General features: G+C 41.9%; 3 annotated features.

Moving 5' to 3' along the window:
- Window positions 10,971-11,140: an enhancer, noted in NCBI's record as "active region_23533". NCBI's record gives its function as "activates an Ori minimal core promoter by ATAC-STARR-seq in GM12878 lymphoblastoid cells {active_cell/tissue: GM12878}" and the evidence as "EXISTENCE:reporter gene assay evidence [ECO:0000049][PMID:35858748]".
- Window positions 11,151-11,200: an enhancer, noted in NCBI's record as "active region_23534". NCBI's record gives its function as "activates an Ori minimal core promoter by ATAC-STARR-seq in GM12878 lymphoblastoid cells {active_cell/tissue: GM12878}" and the evidence as "EXISTENCE:reporter gene assay evidence [ECO:0000049][PMID:35858748]".
- Window positions 20,463-20,757: a silencer, noted in NCBI's record as "tiled region #1261; HepG2 Repressive non-DNase unmatched - State 24:Quies". NCBI's record gives its function as "represses a minimal TATA promoter and a strong SV40 promoter by Sharpr-MPRA in HepG2 cells {active_cell/tissue: HepG2}" and the evidence as "EXISTENCE:reporter gene assay evidence [ECO:0000049][PMID:27701403]".

Here is a 27,163-nt window from a genome sequence, read left to right on the forward strand (position 1 = left end):
GTTGTATTCCTAGGTATTTTATTCTCTTTGTAGCAATTGTGAATGGGACTTCACTTATGATTTGGCTCTCTATTTGTCTATTATTGGTATATAGGAGTGCTTGTGATTTTTGCACATTGATTTTGTATCCTGAGCGAATTGAATCTTTCCCATAATTAATAGCACTAATTGAGTCCTACCCACAATCCAAGAGTATATGGCTCTCCCCATTTAAAGATGAGGAAGCTGAGGCTCAGAGCAGTTAAGTAGTCCAGGGTCACACAGTTGATAAGTTGCAAAGCAAGGATTTAGCTCCAAAGACTTTGTTCTATAAAATGCTGGATGAGGGACTTGTTGCAGAGGCATGGGTTTCATGAGTCAGTGATGTCATTCGACCCCTGACCTAGAGTTGTTCAATATGAAAACCAATGCTTCAAGGGAGTTGTACTAGACAACCTCATCCAGAAGGAATTTTTGCTCTTTTCAGTCTAGGTACATTCCCCTAGTCCATCTGATTTGGCTTTCTGCTGAAACCTGGGCAACTGTTTGGTATATAACAATCGGTACTTTTCCACTAAGAGTCGGCCCTACGTCCTAACAGGAGAGGCACAAGCTGGACTGCCCTGCTTTGGACAACACAAAATATTGGGTCAGATGAGGCTGGCCAGCAAAGCCCAGCTTTTCAGGGGACTGGGAGGCAAGGCAACCCCAAGTCTCTGGCTCAAATGGGAGACTTCCTAAGCTTCTCAAAAGGCCTCTCCTTGAAAACCCATGCATCTACTCCTCCTAAAAAGCTGCAGGGAATGCTGGCAGGGCATCTAAATAGGGAAATGGAATCAAAGGATCAAAGGAGAAATGGCACAGGGTAGAAGGGAAATACACACACATACACGCGCACACACACACACACACACACAGAGACACACATACATTCCACAAAGTAAGGAGTCTCTCCTGGAACACTGGCCTGGAAATGAAGCAGTCAAAAAAGAGGAGGCAGCACTGACCCTCATAGTGTCCCAGAGGGGCTGTGGGCTGTGGATGATTCCTTAAATTCCACGTTAAATTGCCAGGCCACTCACCTGTATCCTGGGTCTTAGAAAAACTGTGATTTCTGAGGAGCCACCAGAATCTTCTTGGGCCCCTGAGAAAAATGATAAAGGAAGCTGTGGGGTCTTGGAAAAGGCCTCTGATCACCAGGACTGAGATTTTTTTTTTTTTTTCAGAAGAGAGAAGTAGATACCGATTGTTTCCCCCAGATAATCATTACCATCATTATAATTCACACTGAGCCTTCTTAGCAGTGATCAGCTAATTAGATAGCACTAACAGATCATTCTGTGCCAGGTAGTATGCTCAGCACCTTCCAAACATTAAATCCCAAAGACTCTAAAATGTAAGTTCTAAGGTTGTGTTAATTTTGCAAAGAATTTTTGAGGTCTAGGGCTGCCTGTGGCTTTGAGCTCCTGACATGTGCTGTGCGTGTTAATACGAACAGGTGTTCAAAGACTTAGTACAAAAAGGAAAAAAATGCAAAATAGTTTATTAGCAAATTTTAATGATTACTTGTTCAAATGATATTTTAAATATGTCAGATTAAACAAATATACTATTAAAATTAATTTTATCTTTTTTATGTTTTTGTTTTACTTTGTCTAATGTGGCTACTAGACCATTTTAAATTACATACGTGCCTCAGTGTGTGGCTTACACTTTATTTCTGTTCAATAGAGTGGCAGTCTAGAACAGAGTTCAGTAAACTACAGCCCTCAGGCCAAATGCAGCCCACAGCCTGGTTTTGTACAGCTTATAAGCTAATAAATGACAGAATGATTTTTACATTTTTAAAGGGTTGTAAATTTCTTTTAGTGTGAGAGAGACTGTTTGTGGCTTGCAAAACCCAAAAATATTTGCAATATTGACCAGGGGTCAGTCCTGTAAAGGTTCAGATGATTAAGTGGCAGAGCAGGCCTCAACAAACCCAGGACCACCAACCCCAAAGTCTATGCTTTTTTCACTATGAATATCAGCTGTCATACTGGGTGCTGGACATTGCATGGAACCTTTATATACATTGTCTCATTTAATCCGGAGATTAAATAATGTTAATTACTAACATTTATTAATAATGCTATTATGATGCTACATAAGATTAATGATGTTATTATGTCCAATTTAAAGATAAGCAAGCTGAACTTTAGCTTATACAAAGCTATACAATAGCTTATGCAATTTGCTTATACAAAGCTAAATTGTAGAGATTTACTAATTTTTCTTAAGTCACATAGCCAGTAAATAATAGGACTGGGATTTGAATCCACTTCTTCCTGAAAGGTACAACCGCAGGCCCTTGATACCTCCTGCTTCTGAATCCCTATTACGTTGAGGCAGGGCCAGCCTCTTCATTGATGAGCACTGAGTTATCTACTCTTGAGTCTTTATCTGAGGTGTTGTGATCTTTCCAGGTATAATCCAATCCAGGAATCTGAAAACTATTGCCCACAGGCCAAATTTGCTCCCACAGACCTAATTTGCTCAGTTGGGTCAAAATGTTGGCCTCAGTATAGCTTAAGAAAGAACTTGGCAAGCAATTGTACCTGAAACAAAGGTGGTAGTTCCAGGATATTTTGGGTAGATTCATGGCAAAAACTGTTCCATAAGGCGGCCACATGACATTTCCAAATGATATAATAATAGCTATCATCACTGAACACAACCCTGTTCTTTTGTTACATATTGTCTATGGGTGCTTTTGTGTTACAACGGCAGAGTTGACTAATTGCAGCAGAGACCACCAATCCCACACAGCCAAAAATACTTACTATCTGAGCCTTTACAGAGAAAGTTTGCTGACTTCTAATCTACTTTGTTCAGGACAGGGATCACATTGACCCCTTCTATACAAGCAGTGCCCACTACAGTGTGGAGTTAGTGAGGGCCCAATAAGCATGGAGTGGTTGGGTGAGTGGTTGACCCGTGGGTTGGAGAGGAGAATCAGGAGGGCTCATGCCCTCTCTTCCTTGTACAGAGATCCCTTAGAACACATGCAGCACACACACCTCAGATGCTGCCATCTCTTTAAGAGCTGATGTTGGGATTCTCCCTGATTCTTTCCCACTTCCTTCCCCAGTAGTTACTTGACCAGGAACACGTGGATTACATTTCACTTAAAAACACAGAGGGAATTTCAAATTAGCAGGAAACATGTTTGGCAAAAACTAAAATACTTTGCAAACCATCTGGGATGTTCTCTTGTTAGTACTGGAGCTGAGTGCCACTGTCCTCCATGGAGAAATGATTTTTTACAAAATCCACATTAGTTCCAAGACAAAAGGACTCTGCACACTTAAGCAAGACCAACGGGAGTGAATAATGTTGGCCTCACTATGTCTTGAGAAAGGAATTGGCAAGCAATTGTATGTAAAACGAAGGTGGGAGTTCAAGGACATTTTGGAGAGACTCACAGCAAGAACTATTGCATAAGGCGGCCATGTACCATTTCCAAATTATATAATAGTTACCATTACTGAGTATTTCCCATGTTCTAGCACAAGCACCTTACACCTTTACCACAAGTAATCCTCCCAACAACCACATGAAATAGGTCCTATTATTGTCCACATTCCAATTAAAGGAAACTAACAATTAGCTTAAATAATTTTCCCCCAGGCCACACAGCTGGTAAGTGTTAGAGGCAGGGCTCAAACCCAGATCCAGGACTAGCTAACTCCGGGCTCTGTGCCTCCTACCATTATTCTACACTGGACTCCCCATAAGTTTCCCTGTGGCATTAGTTATGTTTCCCATGCCCTTTGAGTACAGCAGTGCTGGGCATACGGTAAGCATGCAATAATTACTTATTTCCTCATTCATGTATTTAAAAATATGTATCAAAACTTACTATATGCTAGGCACCATGACAGGTGATAGGGATTCAATGGTGATGTAAGACTGGTGGACTTAAATTAATTTTTTAAAGGCATCATGGGATTTTGTATCGGCTATCTCTGTATCTAGAAGATGTCAGACTCATGGAAGTTTTGTCCATTTTATTCCCTTTGCTTATCCATTCTTTCTTGTTTACAGAAAGACTTAATTTTCTGTCTCATATCTCTGTCCTTCTTGCCCCACTATTTTTCCCCCTTCTCCAAAAATCCCAGCCCCAAAAACAGTCTACATATTGTGAAAAAGATTTCTCAAACCACAAGGGTGATGTAACTTTAGGCCTGTGTTTTCTCTCTCACACACACAAAATATTGGATATGAGTGAGATTTTAAAAAATTGGTTTTTAAATGTGATGAAAAGAGTGTCCTTTTCACCAGAACAAAACAACCCTTAATGCTGAAGCCTCCTTCCCGATATGGTTGGCTTCCAAATATGAAGAAATCTGTGCATTGGGCCACAGGCTCCAGACAAAGTCTGAGGACAAAGGAAACCTGTGGACTGGAAAGATCATCGATGTTTAGAATGAACTGGAGGCTCCCTCCAGGTTTTGGAGACTGTGGTTAAAGACATGGCCTATATTTCAATGGGCAGCAGCCCAGCAAGGCTCGTTTGTAATCCAGCTGATACGACAGGGTTTTTGCCATGGGAAGTGTTTGCATTTGAGCATTTCTCAGCCAGTCACTAGCCATCAATTACTTAGGAGTCAGATCTTGGCCAGAGGCCCCCGTTCCACAAAGTATGTCATTCTGTATTCACAGAAATGGAGTTTACAGTCCTGCCGCTAAATTAAAACTGGTGCTTCCAAATTAAAAGCAGACAGGACAGATGTGCAGGGAAGAAACGGAGACTCACATCTTTTGTGAATCAGCTAATCCTTGTGCCAGAACTTGAAATCAGCTTTTCCTGTAGAGGCCTCGACTACACCACACCTATGTAAGCTGCATTAAATGAGGTGGAATTAACATTTTACCAGATATTTCCTCTGCTCTGCCATCTGGACAAGGATAAAGAGCTCGGTGAAGCCCAGAATCCCAAAAACTGTGCAACATGAGAACATGGGGCCAGCACCTGAGGGTGGCCACATCTAGCCTGTCCCCTCATTGAGCAATATGAAGTCATGTAGGACACCAGAGGGTGGATGAAAAGCATGTGAACCAAGTATGCTGCTTCTAACGATTAACGGTTCAAGCACAATCTCAAAACTCCAGTGTCTGCACTCCTCTAGGGAAAATGATAAAAAATACGATTTTCACTATTCTGCCTGCTCCGTTAATCACCTCATGATATAAATATTAGCTTTATTTTATAGGGCATTTATGATATTAAATTTGAAAACCTCAAATATGATCTGGCAAATTCATGCTTAAAAACCTTCAGTGGCTTCTCATAGCCCTCACGATTAAGAGCAGCTTCCTTGATTGGGTCACTAAAGCCTGCAGGGTCTGGTTTCCACCTCATGTAACACTACTTCTCTCCTCTACTCTGTGCTGCAGACACATTGACTTTCTTTCCATTTCTCCTGCACACCATATTCTCTTCCACTTCAAGTTGTTCCTTCTGCTGCAAAGCTTTTCCAGCCATCCTCTTTTATAACCTCATTATTAAGAAAAAAATTCACATACACACAATTCACCCACTTAAAGTGGACTATTCAGTGGTTTCAAGCATATTCATAGAGTGGTGCAAGCATCATTACATCTATTTCAAAACGTTTTTATCACCCTTTAAAAAACCCTTTTACCTATAAGCTTTCACTTTCCATTTTCCCTCAACCCTAGGAAATCATTAATCTACTTTGCATCTCTCTTCTGTCTCCTATTGCAGACATTCAAACAAATAGGATTATCCAATATGTCGTATTTTGTTTATGACTTCTTTTACTTATCATAATGTTTTCAAGGTTCATCCATGTTGTACCGTGGATCAGTGTTTTTTTCTTAGTCATCACGTAATATCCTATTGTATGGATATACCACATTTAGTTTATCCATTCACAAGTTGATGGACATTTGAGTTACTTTCATTTTTTGACTATTATGAACAATGCCGCTATGGGCATTCATGTACAAGCTTTTGTATGGATGTATGTGTTTATTTATCTTGGGTTTATACCTAAAGATAGAACTGCTAGGTGATAAGGAAACTATGTTTAACATGTTGAGGCAACCACCATAATTTTAACTAATGTTAACTACCACTCATGCTTTGAGTTTCAACTGAAATGTAACTTCCTCACAAATGCATCCCTGTCCCTTCCACTTCCTCCTAAGGTCTCCTGCTAAATGTCTCTCATACATACTGTACCTTTTCTTCATTGTCTTAGCCTAGTTGGTTGGTATGTATTTAGGTACATAATGATTTTATATATGTCTGTCTCTCCTCTTAGACTATAAGTTAGATGGCCCTTTAGCTCATGGCTATATCCCCAAAACTCTTACTAAGGCACTGTGTCAGCCAGTCTTCAAAATGCCCTCCAAGGATTCCACCTCCTGGCATTCATGCTTTTATGTATACCTTCCCCTGGGTGCAAACTTGTCTCAGTGATGGACAAATAAAATAGGAGCTTGGAGACTAGGTTTTCTCTCTCTCTCTCTCTCTCTCTCTCTCTCTCTCTGTCTCTCTCTCTCCTTGCTTTAGGGGAAACCAGTGGTTAATTCATACTGACACTGTATAGAGAGCCCCATTTGGCAAGAAGCTAAGATCTTTTGCCAATAGCCATGTGAATGAACCATCTTGGAAGTAGTTCCATCAGCCCCAGTCAAGCTTTCAGATGACTGCAGCCAGAGTCCACATATTAATGGCAACCTCTTTAGGGATCCTAAGGCAAAACCATCCAGCTAATTCCTTGAATTCATGACCCATAGGAATTGTGGGATAATAAATGTCTGTTGTTTTAAGTTATTAAATTTCGAGGGTAGTTTGTTATACAGTAATAGAAAATGAGCATAGTTATGCTGCCTGGAACATAATAGAAGCTAAGTAAGTGATGAATGAATAAGTAAAGGAATAAACACCCTAGGCTTCTCAGAAATAAAGAGAGTAAAGGCTACACTTATGAACACTTCCTAGATGTTAACTGTATGGGCTGAATGTTTATGTCCCCTGCCAAATTTATATATTGAAGACCTAACCCCCAATATGATTGTACTTGGAAGTGGAGCCTTTGGGAAGTAAGATGGTTAACATTAAGTCATTATGGTGGGACTTTCATGCAAGGATCAGTGCTCTTATAGGAAGAGGAAGACAGAGATCTCTCTCCCCGATGTGCATGCACTGAAGAAAGACCATGTGAGCACACAGCTGGAACGCAGGTATCTACAGCCGGAAAGCAGACTCTCACCAGGAACCAAATCTGACAGCAGCTTTATCTTGAACTTTCCAGCCTCTAGAACCATGAGAAATAAATGCTGCTTAAATCACCCAGTCTATGGTATTTTGTTATAGCAGTTCAAGGTAATTAATACAGTGTTTATATCAGAATCTCATTTAGTGATCACATCAATCCTCAATGGTACAAACAATGACATGCATTTTACTGGTAAGGAAACTGAGGCCCAAAAAAATCTAGGAATCAAGAATCAGCCCATGTGGCTTTTGATGGGCTAAAGCATGAAAAAAATCATACCATGCTCCCAGCTGGCAGTGAAGACAACTCACTCAACCACTCAATGTAACTTTCAGAAGTTCCAGGACCTGAAGCAAGATGCAAGATGAAAGATCACTGAGATAGAACCTTACCATTTCATTTCCAACTTTATTGCTTAATTTAATTATTAATATATATTTTTAATTTTTTATTAAGGTGAAATTCATATAACATTAAATTAATGCCTTTAAAGTGTACAATTCAGTAGCATTTAGTACATTCACAATGTTGTGTAACCATCATGCCTCATTAGTTCCAAAATATATGAATTTATTTTAGTCCTTGGTGCAGAGGATTGAATTTTAGTGACACACCTTAGGTCAAGGCATATCAATATCTTCATCAGGGCAGGGCCCTTTCTTCAAGTCACTTATTTATGCCTCCCCTTCATCCTTCATCCCAGGAGCTATAGCCCCAACCACACTAACATGTCTAATGCCTTCCTTCTTGTTTACCTGTGCTTTGTTTAATAAAACCCTCTTGGCTTTCCAACTTTGATCTTTCATTTTCCCTTAACATTAAGAAAATAACAGGGCTTTACAATTCATCTATCTTAAGGAGGCAGCTTTGCTTTTGTAGAAAAAGTGCCAAATAAAGAGTCAAGGATCCTTTGTTCCAAACTAGAGTTCCACAAATTATCACCCATGGGTCAAATCCAGCCTTCAACCTGTTTTATAAATAAAAGTTGTTGGAATACAACCATGTTTCTTTTTTTACGTATTGTCTGTGGCTGTTTCCTTACCACAATGGCAGAGTTGAGTAGTCGTGACAGAGCCTGCAAAGTCCACAAAGCCTAAAATATTTACCATCTTGCCCTTTACAGAAAAGGTTTGCCAAGCCCTGCTCCAAACCACAGTCTGTCACCTATAACTCTTCATATGATCAGATGAATCTGTTCACTCCCTGGGCCTTAATGTCTAGTTCATAAAATCGAGGCCATGATACTAAAACTATAGTTTTTATTTCTCTCTCTCTTTTGTTTCTAACCTTCTTTTTCTCTGTGTTATGTAGTAGAATACATTTTTAAAACAAAATATTTATGTGCAAATCTACTACAGAAAGTACAGAAGTAGTTTCTCTGGTAGAAGAAGATTGGGACCCTACAATCCTGCCTGGCTAGCTTTAGCCATCCCAGTCTCTCCATCAGCCTCTGAGGTGCCATATTGATATGCCAGGCCCATGAAAAACTCCGTGAGAAAGCAACCCACCCCTTGGATACTTTTAACGTCAGTTCCCTTTCATAGCATCCTGTTGTTATATGGTAGTACAGAAAGTGATGAATTTTGGAATTAGGTCAAATTCCAACTCTAACATTTGCTGTGTAGCTTGAACCAGTCACTTTAACCTCTCTGAGCCTCAGTGTGCTCACTTGCTTGGGAAAATGGAGATAAATAGTCTGGACATCACATGCTGGTTGTAAGGATTAAAGACCCCAATTATTTCTAGAATACCTGGCATAGAAATCTGCATTCAGTGAATTGTAGCTACAAAGGATACAAAATAATTTTTGTGTGAGGGAATCCATGTGATACTTTTTTGGGTGTGAACTCAATTTGAATCTTCACTTTTTGGACACTGACACTGAGGCTGGAAAGGTCAGCCTTTTTATTGTAATAGAAATCTGTTACTTATGTGCTATGATTTGGGGACACTTCCGAATATCTACCCCTGCCTCCAAATGGCATCTACCATGCCCGGCTGAATGCTTGACACCCACCATAGTAGTCAGCAGACCCTGGGCTGAGACAGTGCCTCTTTAAAGAGCCATAAAAATCCCAGACAGAAATAAGAGGTTAAGCCATTGTCTTCTGCAAGGATTTAGCTTGAATCAATCAATTTTCAGGTTTAAGCCTTTGAAGGAAAGAGGCATAAATAAGGCTTAGAAAAGGCCAAAATGTGTAATGACTTCCAGAGAACAAACAAAAGTCAACTGCAGAGGCCTCCCAAGGAGAATGGAAAGGCCTCTGGATGGGGAGACACCCTGTGTTGAGTCAACCTCACCTCTTCCAGGCTGTGTGACTTGAGGCAGTCTCTTAACCTCTCTGAGCCTCCACTTGATATCCAAAATTAAGGCCAATAAGACTGACTGGCCTCCAGGGTGACGGTGAGTGTGAATGCCTGGTTCCAGTCCTGGCACAAAGCAGGCACCGGGTTAAGGCTTCCTGAATGAATCAGTGCAGCATCACACTAGATACTATGAAAGTAGTACTTGAACATCAAAAATGATCATGTAACCTTGAAACAGGCATTTGATGGAACACCAGAGAATGGAGCATCAAGGAGTTGTGGATCCACCTGAAGGCACTGGAAAAGGAAAATGGGGCACAGAAAGGTAGGGAAAGGTTGATAAAGGTGAGGGACAAACGTTAACTACTAAGAGAACCTGGGACCCACCACAGTCTGTGGTGTGGAACAACCAGTGGTTTGATCCAAGTCAGAATTGCATTGAATCATGTCAGACGGGCACCGAATCAAAAGTAGTACTCTCACAAGAGACAACAGGCACTAACCATGTGCCAGCCACAGTGTAAGCATGCCATGCACATTGCCATTTAATGCTTTTACAGCAGTGTGATTTCGGCAGTTAGCCTAATTTACCATAAAGGCCGTTTCCTGTGCAGTAGGCTTTGGGTTCCTGAACTTGCTGTGGCTGATGGACTATGAAAAGAATTGCCAAGAGAGAAAAGAGCCATGGTACCCCCTTCCCCATCTCTTTCTCTGCTGTGATGAACTGGAACCAACTGCTGTGGGTTGATTGACATAGTGATGTCAGAAGAAGAAAAGATCCCAGGTCTCCGAGTCTCCTGAAATAGAAGAAATTTCTCCATCTGCATGAGTGAGAAATAAATGTTTATGGTCCTAATCCACTGAGATGCCAAGGTTTATTTTACATTGGAGGATTACATGGAACCCATCCCGCCAAACACAGCAGCTAACATTTATTTAGTGCTTGCTACTACTTGAAAAACTTCATATATTTTTAAAATTTCATTTCATTCTCACTTTCATTTTACACGTAAAGAAGAGAGTAAATTATCTGAGAATATGAGAATATACAGGATGTACCAGAGCCTGAATTTGAACCTAGGCATTCCGGCACCAGAGCTGCCTTCTGCTTTTTTTTTTTTTAGACAGAGTCTTGCTCTGCTCTGTTGCCCAGGCTGCTTGCTGGAGCGCAGCGGTGCAATCTCGGCTCACTGCAACTTTTGCCTCCCGGGTTCAAGCGATCCTCCTGCCTCAACCTCCCAAGTAGCTGGTTAAGCTGCTTTCTTATAGAAGGAAAAGTTGAGAAATTAAGGGACTTGCCTATCATCACAGAATATGGAAATGGCAGAGCCATGATTCAAAACCAGGTCTGTTTGGTTTTACATTATGGGAAAACCATTATGGGAAAGTCGCAGCCATTTTATGTTCTCTTCTTTGCAGTTTTGGTCCAGTAGGTCCACTCACTGTCCAGCATGCAAGATGTGAAAACGCTCTAAAAGTTGAGAGGAGGTGTTTCCAGCCACTGCATCAGTGTAAGAGTTGGCAGGGGCTGTCTGGCTTGCCTCGTGCTCAAATCCCCATTTGCTGTGGAGGCCACAGATGCTCTGGCCTGACAGTAAGACAGCCCCTCTTTTGGACAGCACTTCCCACCACCACGAAGCTTCTCTGTGCAGGGCTTGCAAAACTCAGCAACACCACTGTGGGCGGTCCCTGGAGAGGCAGTGAGTCTTGTTATCGACAGGCGTATTGACTTTCAAAACCACAGTGTTTGAGCCTCAGGGCACTCTTTGACTCATATTTCCTTTTTCGGTCTATAATGCTGCAAAGGTCCAGAGAGACAATGGGCAGGCATAGTTCTGCCCAAATGGTAATGAGGAGTGGCTCAGAGGGAAATAAAAGAAAGAAATGGTAACAGTAGTGAACATTCAGAGGACACATGTGCCAGGCAGCGTTTAAGCTGCTCTGTGGGCATAATATCATGGAATTCTCAAAACAATGCCAAGAGATCGGTGTTACTTGATTTTGAAGGGCAGAAAATTGGGATTCATAGAGATCAAGCAACTTACCCAAAGTTACTCATCTAGGCGTTAGAAATGATATTGGCTTCCTCTGGAACTAGGAATCTTAATTTGCTTGGCTCCTTCAATGTTAATTAGCTTTATAAATGTTTTTCCATATAGCTTCACTTGACAGTTTTGCTGGAACAAATAGTCCATTGGGGTTCTTACCTTGCAAAGAGCATTCGTAAATGTTAATATATTTGATCCTTATGAGAGCTTTGTGAGGCAGGCGGGGCATACCGGATTTTCATATTTAGGGACACCAAGACACAGACATTGAGACACAGGTCATCCCAGGTTAGGCAAGGTGAAGCAAAATCTAAAATCCATCTGTCTGTAGCCTGGTTGGATATCTTCCCACAAGCTCCATAGCTCTCTTCTTGGAAGCCCAGAGTTACTAAGGGGCTGAGAGCATAGGCTTAGACATTAGAACCATCTTCGATTTGAGTCCTGGCTCCACAGGTCAAGTGCTGTGTGACCTGTAATGCACAAAGTTCTTACGAGTTTAGGCGTCCTTGGCCAAAAATCAAGACGAATAATAGTAACATCTACTTCACGGGTATTATAAGGATTCAATGTAAGTCCATGTGCTTGGTGGATAGAAACTGTTATTTTTCTTATACTATAGAATCTCTTCATCTGATTGTTTCTGCCTAAGAACAATCATATTGAAAAAAACTCATCATGACTGTGATAGAGCCTGAGACTCCTACCAGCTTGTGTGTGTTTCATCCTTTGAGATTTCCAGGGAACCGAACTGTGCCCAGTGCCAGTTTTGTGAATTCAATGGAAAAGCATGCCCTTCAGTCCCCTCTTCACTGGCTTCTGGACTTCCAGGAGGAGATGCTGGGTTAGAGCTGAATGAAAGACCCTACCCATGGATGGCTCCACAGTCTCCACAGTCCTGGGAGTCACTGTCCCTCTCAGCAGCTTCAGCTGCTTTCCTGATAACAATGTTATTCTCTTTGGTCTTCTGGGAGTCCCACCAGCATCATTAATCAAAGCACCACGTTGCTTACTCGTACTGAAGTATCCTCACCGCCTCATCAATCATAAAAGCAGCAAAGGGTGTGCTTTGGATTTCTAAGAAAAGCTCCAGACAGCACCAAAAGAAAAAAAAATTGTGTGGGGATGGGGGAGCTTAATTATCAGCTGGTCCTTGGCCCATCACTCACAGTGGAAATGTCTTTACAGCTTTATTTGGGTTGTGTCTCTTTTTAAATCCCAGTAAACAGCCGTTAAGCTAAAAACCCTCATTGCTCGGCACAGGGAGCCCCACTGGTTTTCAAGCTATTATTTTAATAAGGCCTATTTTACAATTAAGGCACCATGGGCTTTAAATTACTTATAAAATAAAATGTGGAAATTGAAGCATTAAGTGTGTGACTGTCGTTAGAGGAACAGCAGCCGTTCTTTGTGGTAAAATGCTGTCTGGTGTAAAAGGAATAGAACAGAAGGCTCAGGGTATGTGCCACCATGATAAAAACAAAACAAAACAAACCCACAATACACACGTACCACATCGGAAAGCCCTGTTCACTCTTCTCCAGTAAAGATTGGGGTCATGTCTAAATGGAGCTAAATAATAACAATAACAATAAGATTACAACTAATATTGTTAATAGTAAGAGCAGCTAACATTTTTTTGAGCACTTGCTACATCCCAAGCACCAGCTGAGAATCTTCTCCTGCATTGTGTCATCCTCCCACCAAATTCAAAAGGGAAGTGCCATTCTTATCCCTCTGATAAGGAAGAAAATGGAGGCTCAGAGGGGAGGCCACTGGCTGGAGGTCTCTGTGCTGGCAAGGGGCAGAGGTAGGAGCTAAACTCAGGTACATGTGAATCCAAATCCTATGCTTGTAGGCACTCTCCTTGGAGGCCAAATCATTAATTTAATCAACAATTATTTTTGTGCCGGGCACTGGGCCATCCATTCTGCAAAGGAAACAGTCACGGCCATGCCTGGTGGTGTTTACAGTCTAGCAGGAGGTTCAGGTGATAACAAGGAAACAGTTGCATGGATTTGTGACTATGGGCAGGGTAAGAGTTATGAAAAAAACAAGCAGGCCATGGTGAGGGAGAATAAGGGGGTAAAGGGACTTTGCTGAATTGGGGTGGTCAGGGAAGGCTTCTCTGAGGAGGCGATGTTGAAGCCAAAGGAGAAAAGTGAGGAAAGAGGAGTCCACTGCGAGATGAATGGCAGGCACTGTAGCCTGGCAGAGGGAAAGCCGCTGGTAACTGGAAGGGAGACAGGGGAGATCAGAGGGCAGTGAGTAAGAGAGAGCAGAACTAAATGGGGATGGAGAGGAAAGCAAGGGCCAGGGCAGCTACTTCATGACCACACTAAGGAAGCTGTTTTATTCTAAGTCTTAGGAGAGCATGCGCTGAGGGTGACTCATGCTCCAATTTTAAGCAGATTACCTGGGCTGCTCATGAGAGTGGACTGGAAGTGGGCAAGAGTGAAAATAGGGAGACAGTCAGGAGCTGTTTGCAGTAGCCCAGGAGGGCCAAAAGGGTTGGCAATAGACATGGAGACTAGATGCATTGAAGGTATATTTTGGGCCTATAATTCCAGCACTTTGGGAGGCCGAGGCAGGTGGATCACTTGAGGTCAGGAGTTCAAGACCAGCCTGGCCAACATGGTGAAACTCCGCCTCTACTAAAAATACAAAAATTAGTCGGATGTCGTGGTGGGTTCCTGTAATCCCAGCTACTCAGGAAGCTGAGGCAGGAGAATCGCTTGAACCTGGGAGGTGGAGGTTGCAGTGAGCCGAGATCATGCCATTGTACTCCAGCCTAGGTGACAAGAGTGAAACTCCATCTCAAAAAAAAAAAAAAAAAAAAGATATATTTTGGAAATAGAAATAACAAGGTCATTGTCAACCATTCAGTCCCCACAGGTTTCCAGCAGATGACCTGTGTTGTATGATCGTCTGGTCTTTGTCCTTCAAGAGAAGGTTCTATTCGCTCCCTTAAACAAGGCTCCATGTTCCAAACTGTTCCACCCTGCTCTTCCTGGAATGTCCGTAGATTTATCAAAGAACTTCGCTAGTCTTGCCAGCCAGCTCCTCCACCCTCTTGTAAAAAATATCCATATTTATGTTGAGCTACCACTGACTCCCCTCACGCTCCCTGTGGCTGGCATTTACATCCAGAGGACTTAAAAGGTTTGGAGGATTCTTCCACATGTAAATGCACCATATGCAAATCAGACCTGTCTGCCTCTGTAGACAGCTGTCAATGGAGGGTGTGCCAGAAACACTTATTTGCCTTTACAGAACACCCCACAGCCCCACAGGCAGGAGGTCTTTAGGGAAACAGCAGTGGGGAGACCTAGAGGAGCTGCATCTGCCCCAGTGGCCCAGGATACTTGGCGGCAAGGCTTTGTTCTCCCTCAGAAGATGAATCTTCTTTAACAGGACCAGAGGGCGTGACCAGCTATGTCATAAGCTTGGAGGCTTTTCATTTTTTGTCCACAAAATCTTGCTCCTGGGTGGTACTGAGTCAAATTCCTTAACAATCTAACAGCTGCTCAGTGGCTTATGAAAAATGACTTGCAGCTTCATGGTCTGAGTCCTAGTTTGGAACTTCATGGTGGAAGCCTCCTTGGCAACCATGACAGAGATCCTGGGATGGGGTGAAAGACCTTCTGAAAGGAGTGGTCCTTCTGAACTCAGCTTGCATCTCAGGCCAACCGGAAAGCTGCAGAGGCCAGCCTTGGCCGAGCAGGGCCTTGGGCCTTGAGAAAGATGCTCAGTGTAGGTCTCTCTCCCACTCCTCCCTGGAAGTATATTGGGAAGATTCTATGCAGAAATATCTATCCAGTTGTTTGTCAGGCCCACCCTATGTAGACTCTATCCTCCATTTTCTAAGAACTGATTCTCCCACCCCCTTGATTCACATGCTTCCTGTGGGAGAAACGATGTTTTGGCCATTTGACCTCTGCTCTGGCTTCAGTTAATGGAAGACCAATCAGAGTCCCTCCTCTAGGAAAGTAGAAATGAGATCAAGGTCTCAGTGGGTCTGGTCTCCTGAGTAAAGGAAATGAAATTCTACTAGCTGCAAAAGACCGAGTTTTCCTGAGATTTGGGGCTTGTCTATTGTGACAAGTAGCACAAGCTTCAAATATCAGTGGCTTAACACTGTAAAAGTGTATTTCACATTCGTGCTTGTAGGAATGCCACATGAACACATGACCACCAGCTTGTCACAGCAAGGGAAGAGAGGGTCACAGAGGATGTTTTTCAGGGTCACGCCGTATGTCACTTTCATATACATTATATTGACCAGAATTAAATTAGATAGCTCAAACATAACTGTAAGAGGAGCAAGGAAATTAAGTCTTTCTGCATGCCAAGGAAGAGAAAAGGGTGTAGAGAGCATGCTGTATTGCTTCATCACATACATGAAACTACAAACAAGAAAAGTCAATCCCCAAAGAGAAAAGGAAGTGAAATAGGCACATGCTACAAACAGCATCCCTACAATAAACTCCCATTGTGGCCTGAGTTAGTTCAAGGGGGTTCTCTGTACTTGCAAACAAAGAGAAGTGTACAAATACAGCCTTCAGCATCCACTGCATGATGACTCTTTAAAAGACTTGAAGATAGCACTGTTCAGAGTCAAGCCCAACTCCTCACTGTGATCAAAAGGTGAAGTTCTACATGCTTGCAACTCTGGACTTCCAGCCGAAAATAGTCTTAAGGACACAAGTGTTCCAGTGCTGTGGTCTGTTGGCTCAGGTTTAAAGATGAAGCTTTTCATACCACCAGCTGAGAGATTACCCTTCAAGCAGTTATGATTCTTTTTTGAATGGGTATACACACTCTTGCAACGGTCATGTTCTGTTGCATTTCACACAAAGGGCTGTAGAGCATGGGGAGGGCTCAAGTTCAAGAGCAGAGCAAGGAAGGCAAATGCACAATTAGTATCAGGGCATTTCTATGTGCGGATGAAATAGGTGGCATCTGGGGGCTGTGATCTCAGTGGTTTGAGGAGAATCTTGAGCCCCTAAATGTTCTTCCTACTCCTACTGCTCACCTCATCCTAGGAACTTCATTGATTCCCCTGGCTTAAGTCTACAGATCTTCCCTACCTCATGTCTTGCCTCAACATTCCAAAGCTACTGATCCCTGTCGAACTCTCCAGATTCACTCCAGTCTGCCATTCTGTGTTCTACTATACCCTTCCCTCTGCTTAAAATACCCTTGGCCTTCTCTTCCTCACAGAAGATTCCCCTCACTTTCCTCCACCCTCTGCAGAGCCTTTTCTGTGCAACCAAAAGTGATCACTCCTTCCTCTGTGGCACCATCACCTCCATTCCTGCTCTACCAAGTAATTATTTGCTCCTCAGTTGCCCTGCTGTTCCTGCTCAGCCCCCTAAATTTCAACATGGGAACTCCTTTAAGGTAGAATTTCTTCTGATTTGTATTTAAACTCCTGTGGAACTGTCTATTATCTGACACCTAGTAAGTGCTCAGAAAATAATTCACTAAATAAAGAAACAAACGAATGAATGAATGACTGAATCTATAAAAATAGTGACCTCAATGAAAGATAAACAATCAAACCTTAGCAAATGTATAAGTAAGTATTGATCAATTTATTTGACCTTTAGGGTGAATGAGGATGGAAATGCTGGAACTATTTCTTTTTCTCTTGGATTTCCCTATGGAGTGTTCAGGCTCTCAGCTCCTCCTCTGGACTTTCCAAATCAGGTTTCTCCCATATGAATTTTCTTTCCTCTATCTTGCAGTACAGTTCACTTCTGTCTCTTGCTCCCAAACTTGCATACACAGACTCATTGACATGCTTACCAGTATCAGAATATGAGTTCCATGGGGGAAGGGGCCATGCTTGCCAAGCCCATCAGCATTCCCAGTGCCCAGAACAGTATCTGGACACATAGTAGGTGCTCAATAAATACTTGTTAACTCAAGGAAGGAATACATAAATCAATCAATATGTGAAAGAATAAAGGCCTTCCTATTAATATGTTACTGACTTTTTAGGAAGCAGTCTGGGTTTTAAACAGCATTTCTTTTCTGCTATAAGATGATAAATTGGTTTTATCTCATTTTAAAACTCTGATCAAGTGGCAGTGGCTAGCTGGAACACTCTAATGAGAAGGGTTCAAATTGGGATCAGTGAGAAAAAAAGGACTGTGATTGATTAGTAATGTCTGTCATGCCAAAGGTGGAGAAAGTGGTGATGCATCCCTGAACTAGAGAAAATCTTAGGGTAATGCATAAGTAATACTTGATGCTGTAGTTCAAACAATAGACATCAGTGCAGAGTGGCAAAAAATAAAGGAGAGTGGGAAGCATGAGAATGCATACAGCACCCAGGTGAATTTTTATAATGGTAAGAAGTTTTTAAAGTAAATTTCTCTAAAAACTCTCAATGAAATATGTAAATAAATTCCATAATCAACTTAAATTGCCAAAGCACCAAAATATGAAACTGCAAAAAACTACTCATCCAGTCATAGTATACACAGACTGAGGCAGTTGTTTGGATATCTTGGAAAAAATTACCTTCAGATTCTCCGTAGTCTTCACAAGTGCCATTCATCAAATATTTCTAGCATGTTTTCTGTTCGGTACACAGTAAGACTGCATCTTTCCTGGCTCCTTGAAGTTGGATGTGATCATAAGATTTGCATTAGCCAATGAGATGTGAGTGGAGGTGACCTGGGTCCCCTTTGGGCAAATGTATTAAGATTTAATACATTAAGAGCCAATGTATGATTTGCTCCTGTTCTTTCCACCTCCCAGGGAAACAGGCAAAGCTCCAGGCCATAAGGGCTTCTTCAGCCTGAATCTCTGGCCGAGGACAGCTTGGAGTAGAGGAGGGTCCCCAGAGGATCTGCAGTGGTCACATAGCATGAATGAGAATAAAACCTTTGTTAACATTTTCTTTCTTTCTTTCTTTCTTTCTTTCTTTCTTTCTTTCTTTCTTTCTTTCTTTCTTTCTTTCTTTCTTTCTTTCTTTCTTTTTTTTTTTTGAGATAGTCTCACTCTGTCGCCCAGGCTGGAGTGCAGTGGTGCCATCTCGGCTCACTGCAAGCTCCGCCTCCCGGGTTCATGCCATTCTCCTGCCTCAGCCTCCAGAGTAGCTGGGACTACAGGTGCCCACCACCACGTCTGGCTAATTTTTTGTATTTTTAGTAGAGATGAGGTTTCACCGTGTTAGCCAGGATGGTCTCGATCTCCTGACCTTGTGATCCACCCACCTCAGCCTCCCTAAGTGTTAGGATTATAGGTGTGAGCCACTGCGCCCAGCCAACCTTTGTTAACATTTTCAAGCCACTGAAATGTGTGGGTTGTTTATTACTACAATATGACTGAGCCTGTCCTGACTGATGCATTCTCCAAATTGGGAATTACAATATGTCACAGCACAAGGAAAATATGAGACTAGTTGCTCAGGACCAGTTACCTGGTTAAACACCTCTTTCTCTAAACTGTGGCTTCTGTTCATCTGAAATATTTAGGAAGAGAACCAATACAGGGAGAAATGAAAGCTTTGCCTCCCACTGCTCCTCCTCCTGAACCTGGGCTCCAGCAAAACAAAGCGAGGCACTGTTCTTGATGATCACCCCCAGGTTTTCTTGGTTCATGCCTTTGTTTCCACTATCCTCTCTCCTTAGAAACCTTTCCTTCACCTTGTCTCCAAGTCACTCTCATCTCCCAAGGACCAGCTATAATGCCAACTCCTACAAATGCATCTTCCTGCCACCTAGGAGGGATGTCTTCCCCTTCTGAACTCTGAGAGTACATTTTCAGTATCCTTCTTATTACATTTTTCATTGTCTACCATAAAGGTTGGTTGAATGCTCATATAAAAGAGTCAAGGGATGGAGAAAAGAAGAAAAAGAGGAGATGGAAGCAAATTCAGGGAATCATGGGCAGCCGTGTGAAAATAACATTTGCCAGTTTGGAAAGCTTGTCTTTGCTTCTGTGTTGTATATTTTGGGCTTTCACCGCAAGCCACTTGTTATTCTCGTCACCTTTTATGGGCTGTGCCACTTCTCCTGTGCCCCAGTTGCTTCCTCTCGACTATGCCTTCTGATCAATTATGTCAATTGTTCACATAGATGTATCCTTGCTGACAGGTAAGGAGACCTGTGATTCCTCCTGATTAACGTAATACATACTTCTTCATTTCTTAGTGGTTGATAAGGTTTGGCTCTGTGTCCCCACCCAAATCTCATATCAAATTGCAATTCCCATGTGTTGGGGGAGGGACCTGGGGGGAGGTGATTGGATTATGGAGGTGGTTTCCCCCATGTCATTCTCACGATAGTGAGTGAGTTCTCACATGATCTGATGGTTTAAAAGTGCATGGCAGATCCTCCCTTGCTCGCTCTCTCCTGCTCTACCAAGAGAAGATGTGCCTTGCTTTCACTTCACCTTCAGCCATAATTCCAAGTTTCCTGAGGCCTCCTCAGCCACACTGAATTGTGAGTCAATTAAACCTCTTTTCTTCATAAATTACGCAGTCTCAGGTAGTTCTTTATAGCAGTGTGAAAACAGACTAATATAGTAACTCATAGTGTGTTTTGATGGCAATTCTAGGTCTCCGGGATGCATAATTTGAAAAATTATAACCTCAGCTCTTTTAGTGACCCTTTTGAAAGACACAAGCCAATTTGTGGGACCTAGTAAAAAATGAAAATTCTGGGCCCCTTGTTTAAAAGTTATTGAGAATTTCAAGATGGCAACAGCAGAGCACTAAATAAAGGGTAAGGCCCTTCCAACCACAGAGCACTGTGCACCTGCAAAGGTCGCACACTCATGAAGTTGACCCTGATGTGGAATGTGGGAGTTCTCAATGCCTTCAAATCATACAATGTAGGTGACAGTTCCAGTCATATACTAGATCCTCTCTAAAAGGGTGATACCACCATTTCCCTCCTCCTGTCTACTAGGCATGTCCGACACTGACTTCCAGGAATCAACTATCTAAGGAGTCTGACAACCTTCAGGAATGTTGCCTGCTGAGTCTTTGTTCTCTGCAGAGAAAATGGATGCATTCCAGCATCAAAGTAGCAGCTTCACACAGCTTCACTCCAACCACCATTCAAGATGCCAAGGAAGCGTTTTGATTTGCCCTCATTTTCCTTTAACTAATGTGTTCGTCTACTAGACGAATTACCTATTTCTTGATGGAGTTGAAAGTTGGCCCACATCTTCTAAGAACAGTGATATATATGATGGCCTGGGAGTATATTTTATTTTATCTTAAAAAAAAAGCTTTTTTTCTACCAAAATCAAAGGGAGGTTGAGAATACTTTTAGCTTATGTTGTCTAACTCCTTTACAGTTCAATTTCACATCAAGGAAACAGAGAAACTGTGGAATGTCCTCCAGTAGGGCAGGCCAGCAGGAGTTCCCAGCATGGATCTATGATGCTCTGTGATCCACTCACAAACTTCAGAGAGTACACCACACACAGGGGAGGACTACTCCTGTTTAAAATTCCAGGAAACACCAAAAGATTGCTATGAGGACCTGGAAGTCAGATCGCTATGGTCCTTGCCCCACCTTTGACAAACTAAGTCAGTAAGTTTGGTAAGTGAGAGCATAGGACAGGTGCTCTCACTTACCAAAGATCAAGGTGGCGGCTTCATCCCCATGCAGCCAGAACGATGATGCTGTAGTTGGCTGACTTGGTTGTTCACAGTTTATGTCTGTGGTGATTAGACCAGCATCCATGCTGATGGACTGGTACCCATGTCATATCAGTTGTTAAACTTTGTTTACTGTCATCCCTGGAACAAACCATATGCCCATTTTTATTCTGGTGTCTAACAAATGTGGGACAGTGGTCTGGTGGAGCCAGCTTGTACCAGCTCACACAACCCTTCCTCACCCCTACTTCACTGATATAAAATTGGTAGCCTGAAATCAGTCACAGTGAGAGTTTTTACACCACACAAATCAGCACACTACAGATAAGGGCTTTTTGTTTTCAGAGAGTCGGTTGATCAGCTCATCTCATATCTCAGATGTGTGATGGATATGTGAATCATTGGTTAGTCATCCATCAATTATTTCACCCATGATACAGTAAAAAATGCTTAGAGCTATATAATTCATCTCCCAAACTGGGACATTTTCAAGAGTAAAAGGGTGTGCTATTGAAAATTACACCAGGGCAGGCGCGGTGGCTCGCGCCTGTAATCCCAGCACTTTGGGAGCTCAAGGCGGGCGCATCACGAGGTCAGGAGATCGAGATCATCCTGGCTAACATGGTGAAACCCCGTCTCTACTAAAAATACAAAAAAATTAGCGGGGCGTGGTGGCAGGCACCTGTAGTCCCAGCTACTCAGGAGGCTGAGGCAGGAGAATGGCGTGAGCCCAGGAGGCGGAGCTTGCAGTGAGCCGAGATCGCACCATTGCACTCCAGCCTGGGCGACAGAGCAAGACTCGGTCTGGAAAAAAAAAAAAAAAATTACACCAGAACACTCCAGAGTAAATGGAGACCATCTTGAGCAAACTACAATGTATTGCCACTATATTGTATTGCCTCTAGGCAACTATGCTTGTTTTGGGAGAGAAAACAGTCATTATGAGAGACATGATCTCTACCCTTCTGACATTACAGCCTACTGGGTTAAACAGATAAATCGATAAATAGCATTTTTTACTGATTCATTTCCCACCCATAATATCAAAGGTTTAAATTAAATGTTATAAGAACAGATATGTAAAAACAGTTTTTATCTTAATGATCTCACTTCAAGAAATTGTGAGTTATGACTCTACAAGCAATTTGACTGTCTTAAAAACAAATCATATGAATGCTACCATGTTCAAACTGGTCACCCTGAGAGGTTGTGTATGTAACCCAGTGAGACTGCCATTGCTAGATCATTCAAGCCTCAATAATATTTTGAATAGCTTTGATTGCAGTCAATTTTCATCCTTGCAGTGTGAATTTAACTTCTGAAATGGATCAAAAGTCATTTGGCATCAAGTGTGAGGAAGAAAGAAAGTAAGCAAGCTGGGTAGAATATTTTGGTTTAAATCAGGGTGAAATCATACGTCATGAGATGAAGTTTCTTGTGCGGTTAGCTAAAGTGGCTCCGCAAATAGACACTCCCAAGAAACATTGTAAAGCTACACTCAATTCATTTGGATAAGTATTTCTAATTTTCAAAAGAATTCCAAGAGCTTTTGCACACATCTTATACAGTACAGATATAAGGAAGAAAAACAAGGCCACGGTGGAATGAAGAATTGGGGGCATCTGATATTTATGTCACAGATTCGCAAAAAGCTTACTGGCATATATATAGGTAAGCTTTATATAATATTATATGTAAAATATTATGTAAAGCTTATCAAAATATATGTATAAAAGATTACATATATATTTAAAGCATACTGAAATATATATATATATTAATCTACTACAAGCATTGGAATAACTAGTCAAAAGCCAAAATATCATAAATACGGTTAATCTTAAAATGTTGCTACAGAGAGAAAGCACTTGCTGGTTTACTGATCTTTAGATGATGCTACTTCTCACCCAAGTACTTATTGGTGGAAACTGAGCTCAAATCCAGGTCCTGTCCTACATTCATTCACTCAACACAGAATGATGGAGCTCTCAAGACGATTCAGGGCTCAGCCCTGGGCATAGGGCAGTGAGGAGAAGTCACAAGACTCCCATTCTTGTGGAAGCCTCAGCCTACCAGGGGAGATAGACTTTGATCAGATAACACAGAAATAAAAGGATGTTTTTGTTTGTTTGTTTGTTTGTTTTGAGATGGAGTCTTGCTCTGTGGCCCAGGCTTGAGTGCAGTGGTGCAATCTCGGTTCGCCACAAGCTCCGCCTCTGGGGTTCACGCCATTCTCCTGCCTCAGCCTCCTGAGTAGCTGGAACTACAGGCGCAGACCACCACACCCAGCTATTTTTTTTCTTTGTATTTTTAGTAGAGACGGGGTTTCACCGTGTTAGCCAGGATGGTCTCGGTCTCCTGACCTAATGATCCACCCACCTTGACCTCCCAAAGTGTTGGGATTACAGGCATGAGCCACTGCACCCAGCCATAAAAGGATGTTTTTAAACTGCTGTGCTAAATGCCATAAAAGAAAATCAGAGGACTCTATAAGAGACAATAACCTTCTTGAGGAAGTAGGGTCAAGCCAGGACATAAGGAATTAACTGGTCAAAGAGAACAAACTAGTGTGAGGAGAGAACAGCTTGCAGAGACACTGAGGCTGAGGTCAGGGTCAGAGAATCTGTCAATTTCAGAAATCACATGGCCAAACTCCTGTCTAGGTAAATGAGGGAAGTGAAAAGGGCAGGTCTAGAGACCAGATGTCTTGACTCACATCTCATTCGGGGTGTTTCTTAGCACCCACCCATCTCTTTTTGAATTCCAAAGGTATCTGGAGCATGTAGAGAACCTAACAGGAGAAGTAGTCAAGAGGATGTTGCTTTTGAGGTTAGCGTCTGGGTCTTCTGTGCACACATATGCATGCACACACACACACAAACACACATGCATGTATACATTTGTGTGCACACACAAAGACATAGTCATACAAACATGTATACACACAAACACATGTATGTTTATATGCATGCATGCATGTATGCACATGCAAGTACACACCTAGATGTACTTTTTGTTTATGAAAATGGCCCTTTTTCCAATGGATATTGAGCAGCAAGGTAGAATAGCAGAAAGAACACTAAATTCCAATTCTAGGCATATGGGTACAAGTCACTACATCATTCCACACCTCTATTTCTTTACCTGGAAGATAGACACAAATCTTCTCGTCTAAATAATGCATTGGGTTGTAGCGAGGTGCCAATCAGATGGCTAATATGAAATTGTTGAATGCGCACAATACAGTATTGTATTACTATTAAGCAGTCAGAAAATTAAGTGGTGGTTTGGAGAGATCTCCTGTTTGGTGTCTATGATTTTGCCTCCTTTTTTGCCTGTTAATCTGGACATTCTTCACCTCTCCATAGTCACTTGGTACAGGCTCCAGAGGTCTAACACCAAGAGAACTGCCCCACCACGCTAGGCTCAATGCCCTTGCAAGTAGGATTCAGGGTCATGAGTTGTGGAATCAGAAAAATCCAGCTCGCTTCTTCAGGCCCATTACTTTCCAGCTCTATTGCCCCTGGGGAAGGCCACTTAATCTCCCTGAGTCCCAGTTTCCTCATTTGTAAAATCTGAACTCTAATATTTCCTTCATAGACTTGTGAGAAATAGAGGCTATTTTTGGAAGCCCTGGGGTCCTGTCTGGTACACAAGAAGCCTCAAGAGGATGTATTTGGCAGGTCAGTTCTTTGCTTCCAGCATTGGCCCCCAACGTTGCCAAACATCCAGACGTCCTATGCATCTGTTGCACCACAGTGGGTCTGTCATTCTGTGAATTTTAGGAAGTCTTTTAGGGAAACAATTTGTATTTTCAGTCTGTCCCATGTTTTGGGGTTGATTCAGTTATTTATTCATTCAACAAACATTTATTGATCACCTCTATGTGTCAGACACCACTCTAGGTACTTGATATACACCATAAATAAGAAAAATGAAAACATCACTCTAGTGGAGGAAGACAGATAATAAACAGTAAAAACAACATATTAGTAAATTGTATAATAAATGATCAGGGATGTGGGGAATAAAAGAGCAGTGTAAAGATATCAGGAATGCTAAGGGTGGGGTGGTAGGTGTTTCTTTACCAAGGTTCATCACCATAAGTCTAATTGCAAAAAGGTCATTTTAGTAAAGACTTGGGAGAGGGACGAGAGAATGAGCCTATGGCTATCTGCAGAGTGGGGTGGGCAGAGAACATTCCGGGTAGAGGGAACAGGAGCATGGATGACATGCAGGAAGGACAACAAGGAAGCCAGTGAGGCTGGAACAGAGTGAGCAAGGGGTAAAATGGATGGAAAGGAGGCTGAAGAGTGAACAAAAAGCCAGATTATTTAGGGTTTTGTAGGCATTACTTAGACTCTGGATTTTGCCTTGAATTTATTGATATGATAAGTATGTATCAGGTGTCTGCTGCATGGATAGCCACATGTTAGAAGACATGGTGGCCAGGAAGAAGTCAAGCAAAAAGAAATAAGAATTTCTTGGTCCCTTTTCTGTTAAAACTAGTGGGAAATCAAAAGTATCTTAATTCACCACCTCTTTTGTTTATCTATTGAACATGTAGAGTCCATGCTTTGACGGTTGTCAGGAAATAAAGGTGAGAAAAGCCAGAGAGGGTCTTTACCCACATGGAGCTTTCAGTCTAACTCAGGGTCTCTCCATCATGGCATGACTAATATCTGTGGCCATTTAATCCTTTGTTGTTGCGGGCTGTCCTGTGCATTGTAGAATGTTTAGTGGCATCCCTGGCATCTACTCACTAGACACTACTAACACATCTTCCAGTTGTGACAACCAAAAGTGTCTCTAGACCTTATGAATATCCCTGAGTAGGGATAAGCAAAATCATTCCCAGAGAATCACTGGTCTAACTGAAAATATGTTATGTGCTTTTGTCATTATTTTTGGCTGTTAACACCTAAACACTTTTGTTGTTATTTTGGGATCCTACAGCTCTGAGATTTCAAGGCAGTCACAGTCCACTTCTATTAGGAATTGAATGTTTGCATCCTCCCCCAAATGTATATTGAAGTGCTAGCCCCCAGTATTATGGTATTTGGGGGTGGTGTTTTTAGGAGGTGCTTGGGTTTACATAAGGTCATGAGGGTGGGGGCCCCCATAATAGCACTAAAGGATTTAGTATGCTAAAGGATTTAGTATACTAAGCAGGATACTGAAGCTTTGGAGAGCTGATGGAATTAGCTCTAAATTAGTATACTAAATTACTATACTGAATCCTGCTGCAGTAGGATTGATGGATCATATGGCAGCTCTAGTTTTACTGTTTTGAGGAACCTCCAAACTGTTCTCCATAGTGGTTGTGCTAATTTACATTGCCACCAACAGCAATCCTTGTCAGCATTTGTTATTACCTGTTTTGGATATGAGCCATTTAACTGGGGTGAGGTGATATCTCATTGTAGTTTAGATTTGCATTCCTCTGATGATCAAAGATGTTGAGCACCTTTTCATATGCATGTTTGCCATTTGTATGTTTTCTTTTGAGAAATGTCTATTCAAATCTTTTGCCCATTTTTTGATTGGATTACCAGACTTTTTCCTATAGAGTTATCTGAGCTCTTTATATATTCTGGTTATTAATATCTTATCAGAGGGATAGTTTTCAAATGTTTTCTCTAATTCTGTAGGTTGTCTCTTTGCTTTGTTGATTGTTTCCTTTGCTGTGCAAAATCTTTTTAACTTGAAGTCATCCCATTTGTCCATTTTTGCTTTTGTTGCCTATGCTTGTCGGGTACAGTTTAAGAAATTTTTGCCCAGACCAGTGTCCTGGAGATTTTCCCCAATTTTTTTTTTTTTTGTAGTAGTTGCATAGTTTGAGTTCTTAAAGTCTTTAATCAATTTTGATTTGATTTTTGTACATGGTGAAAAATAGGAGTATAGCTTCATTC

Source organism: Homo sapiens, chromosome 5, assembly GCF_000001405.40.
Source record: "Homo sapiens chromosome 5, GRCh38.p14 Primary Assembly".
NCBI classification, from domain to species: Eukaryota; Metazoa; Chordata; class Mammalia; order Primates; family Hominidae; genus Homo; species Homo sapiens.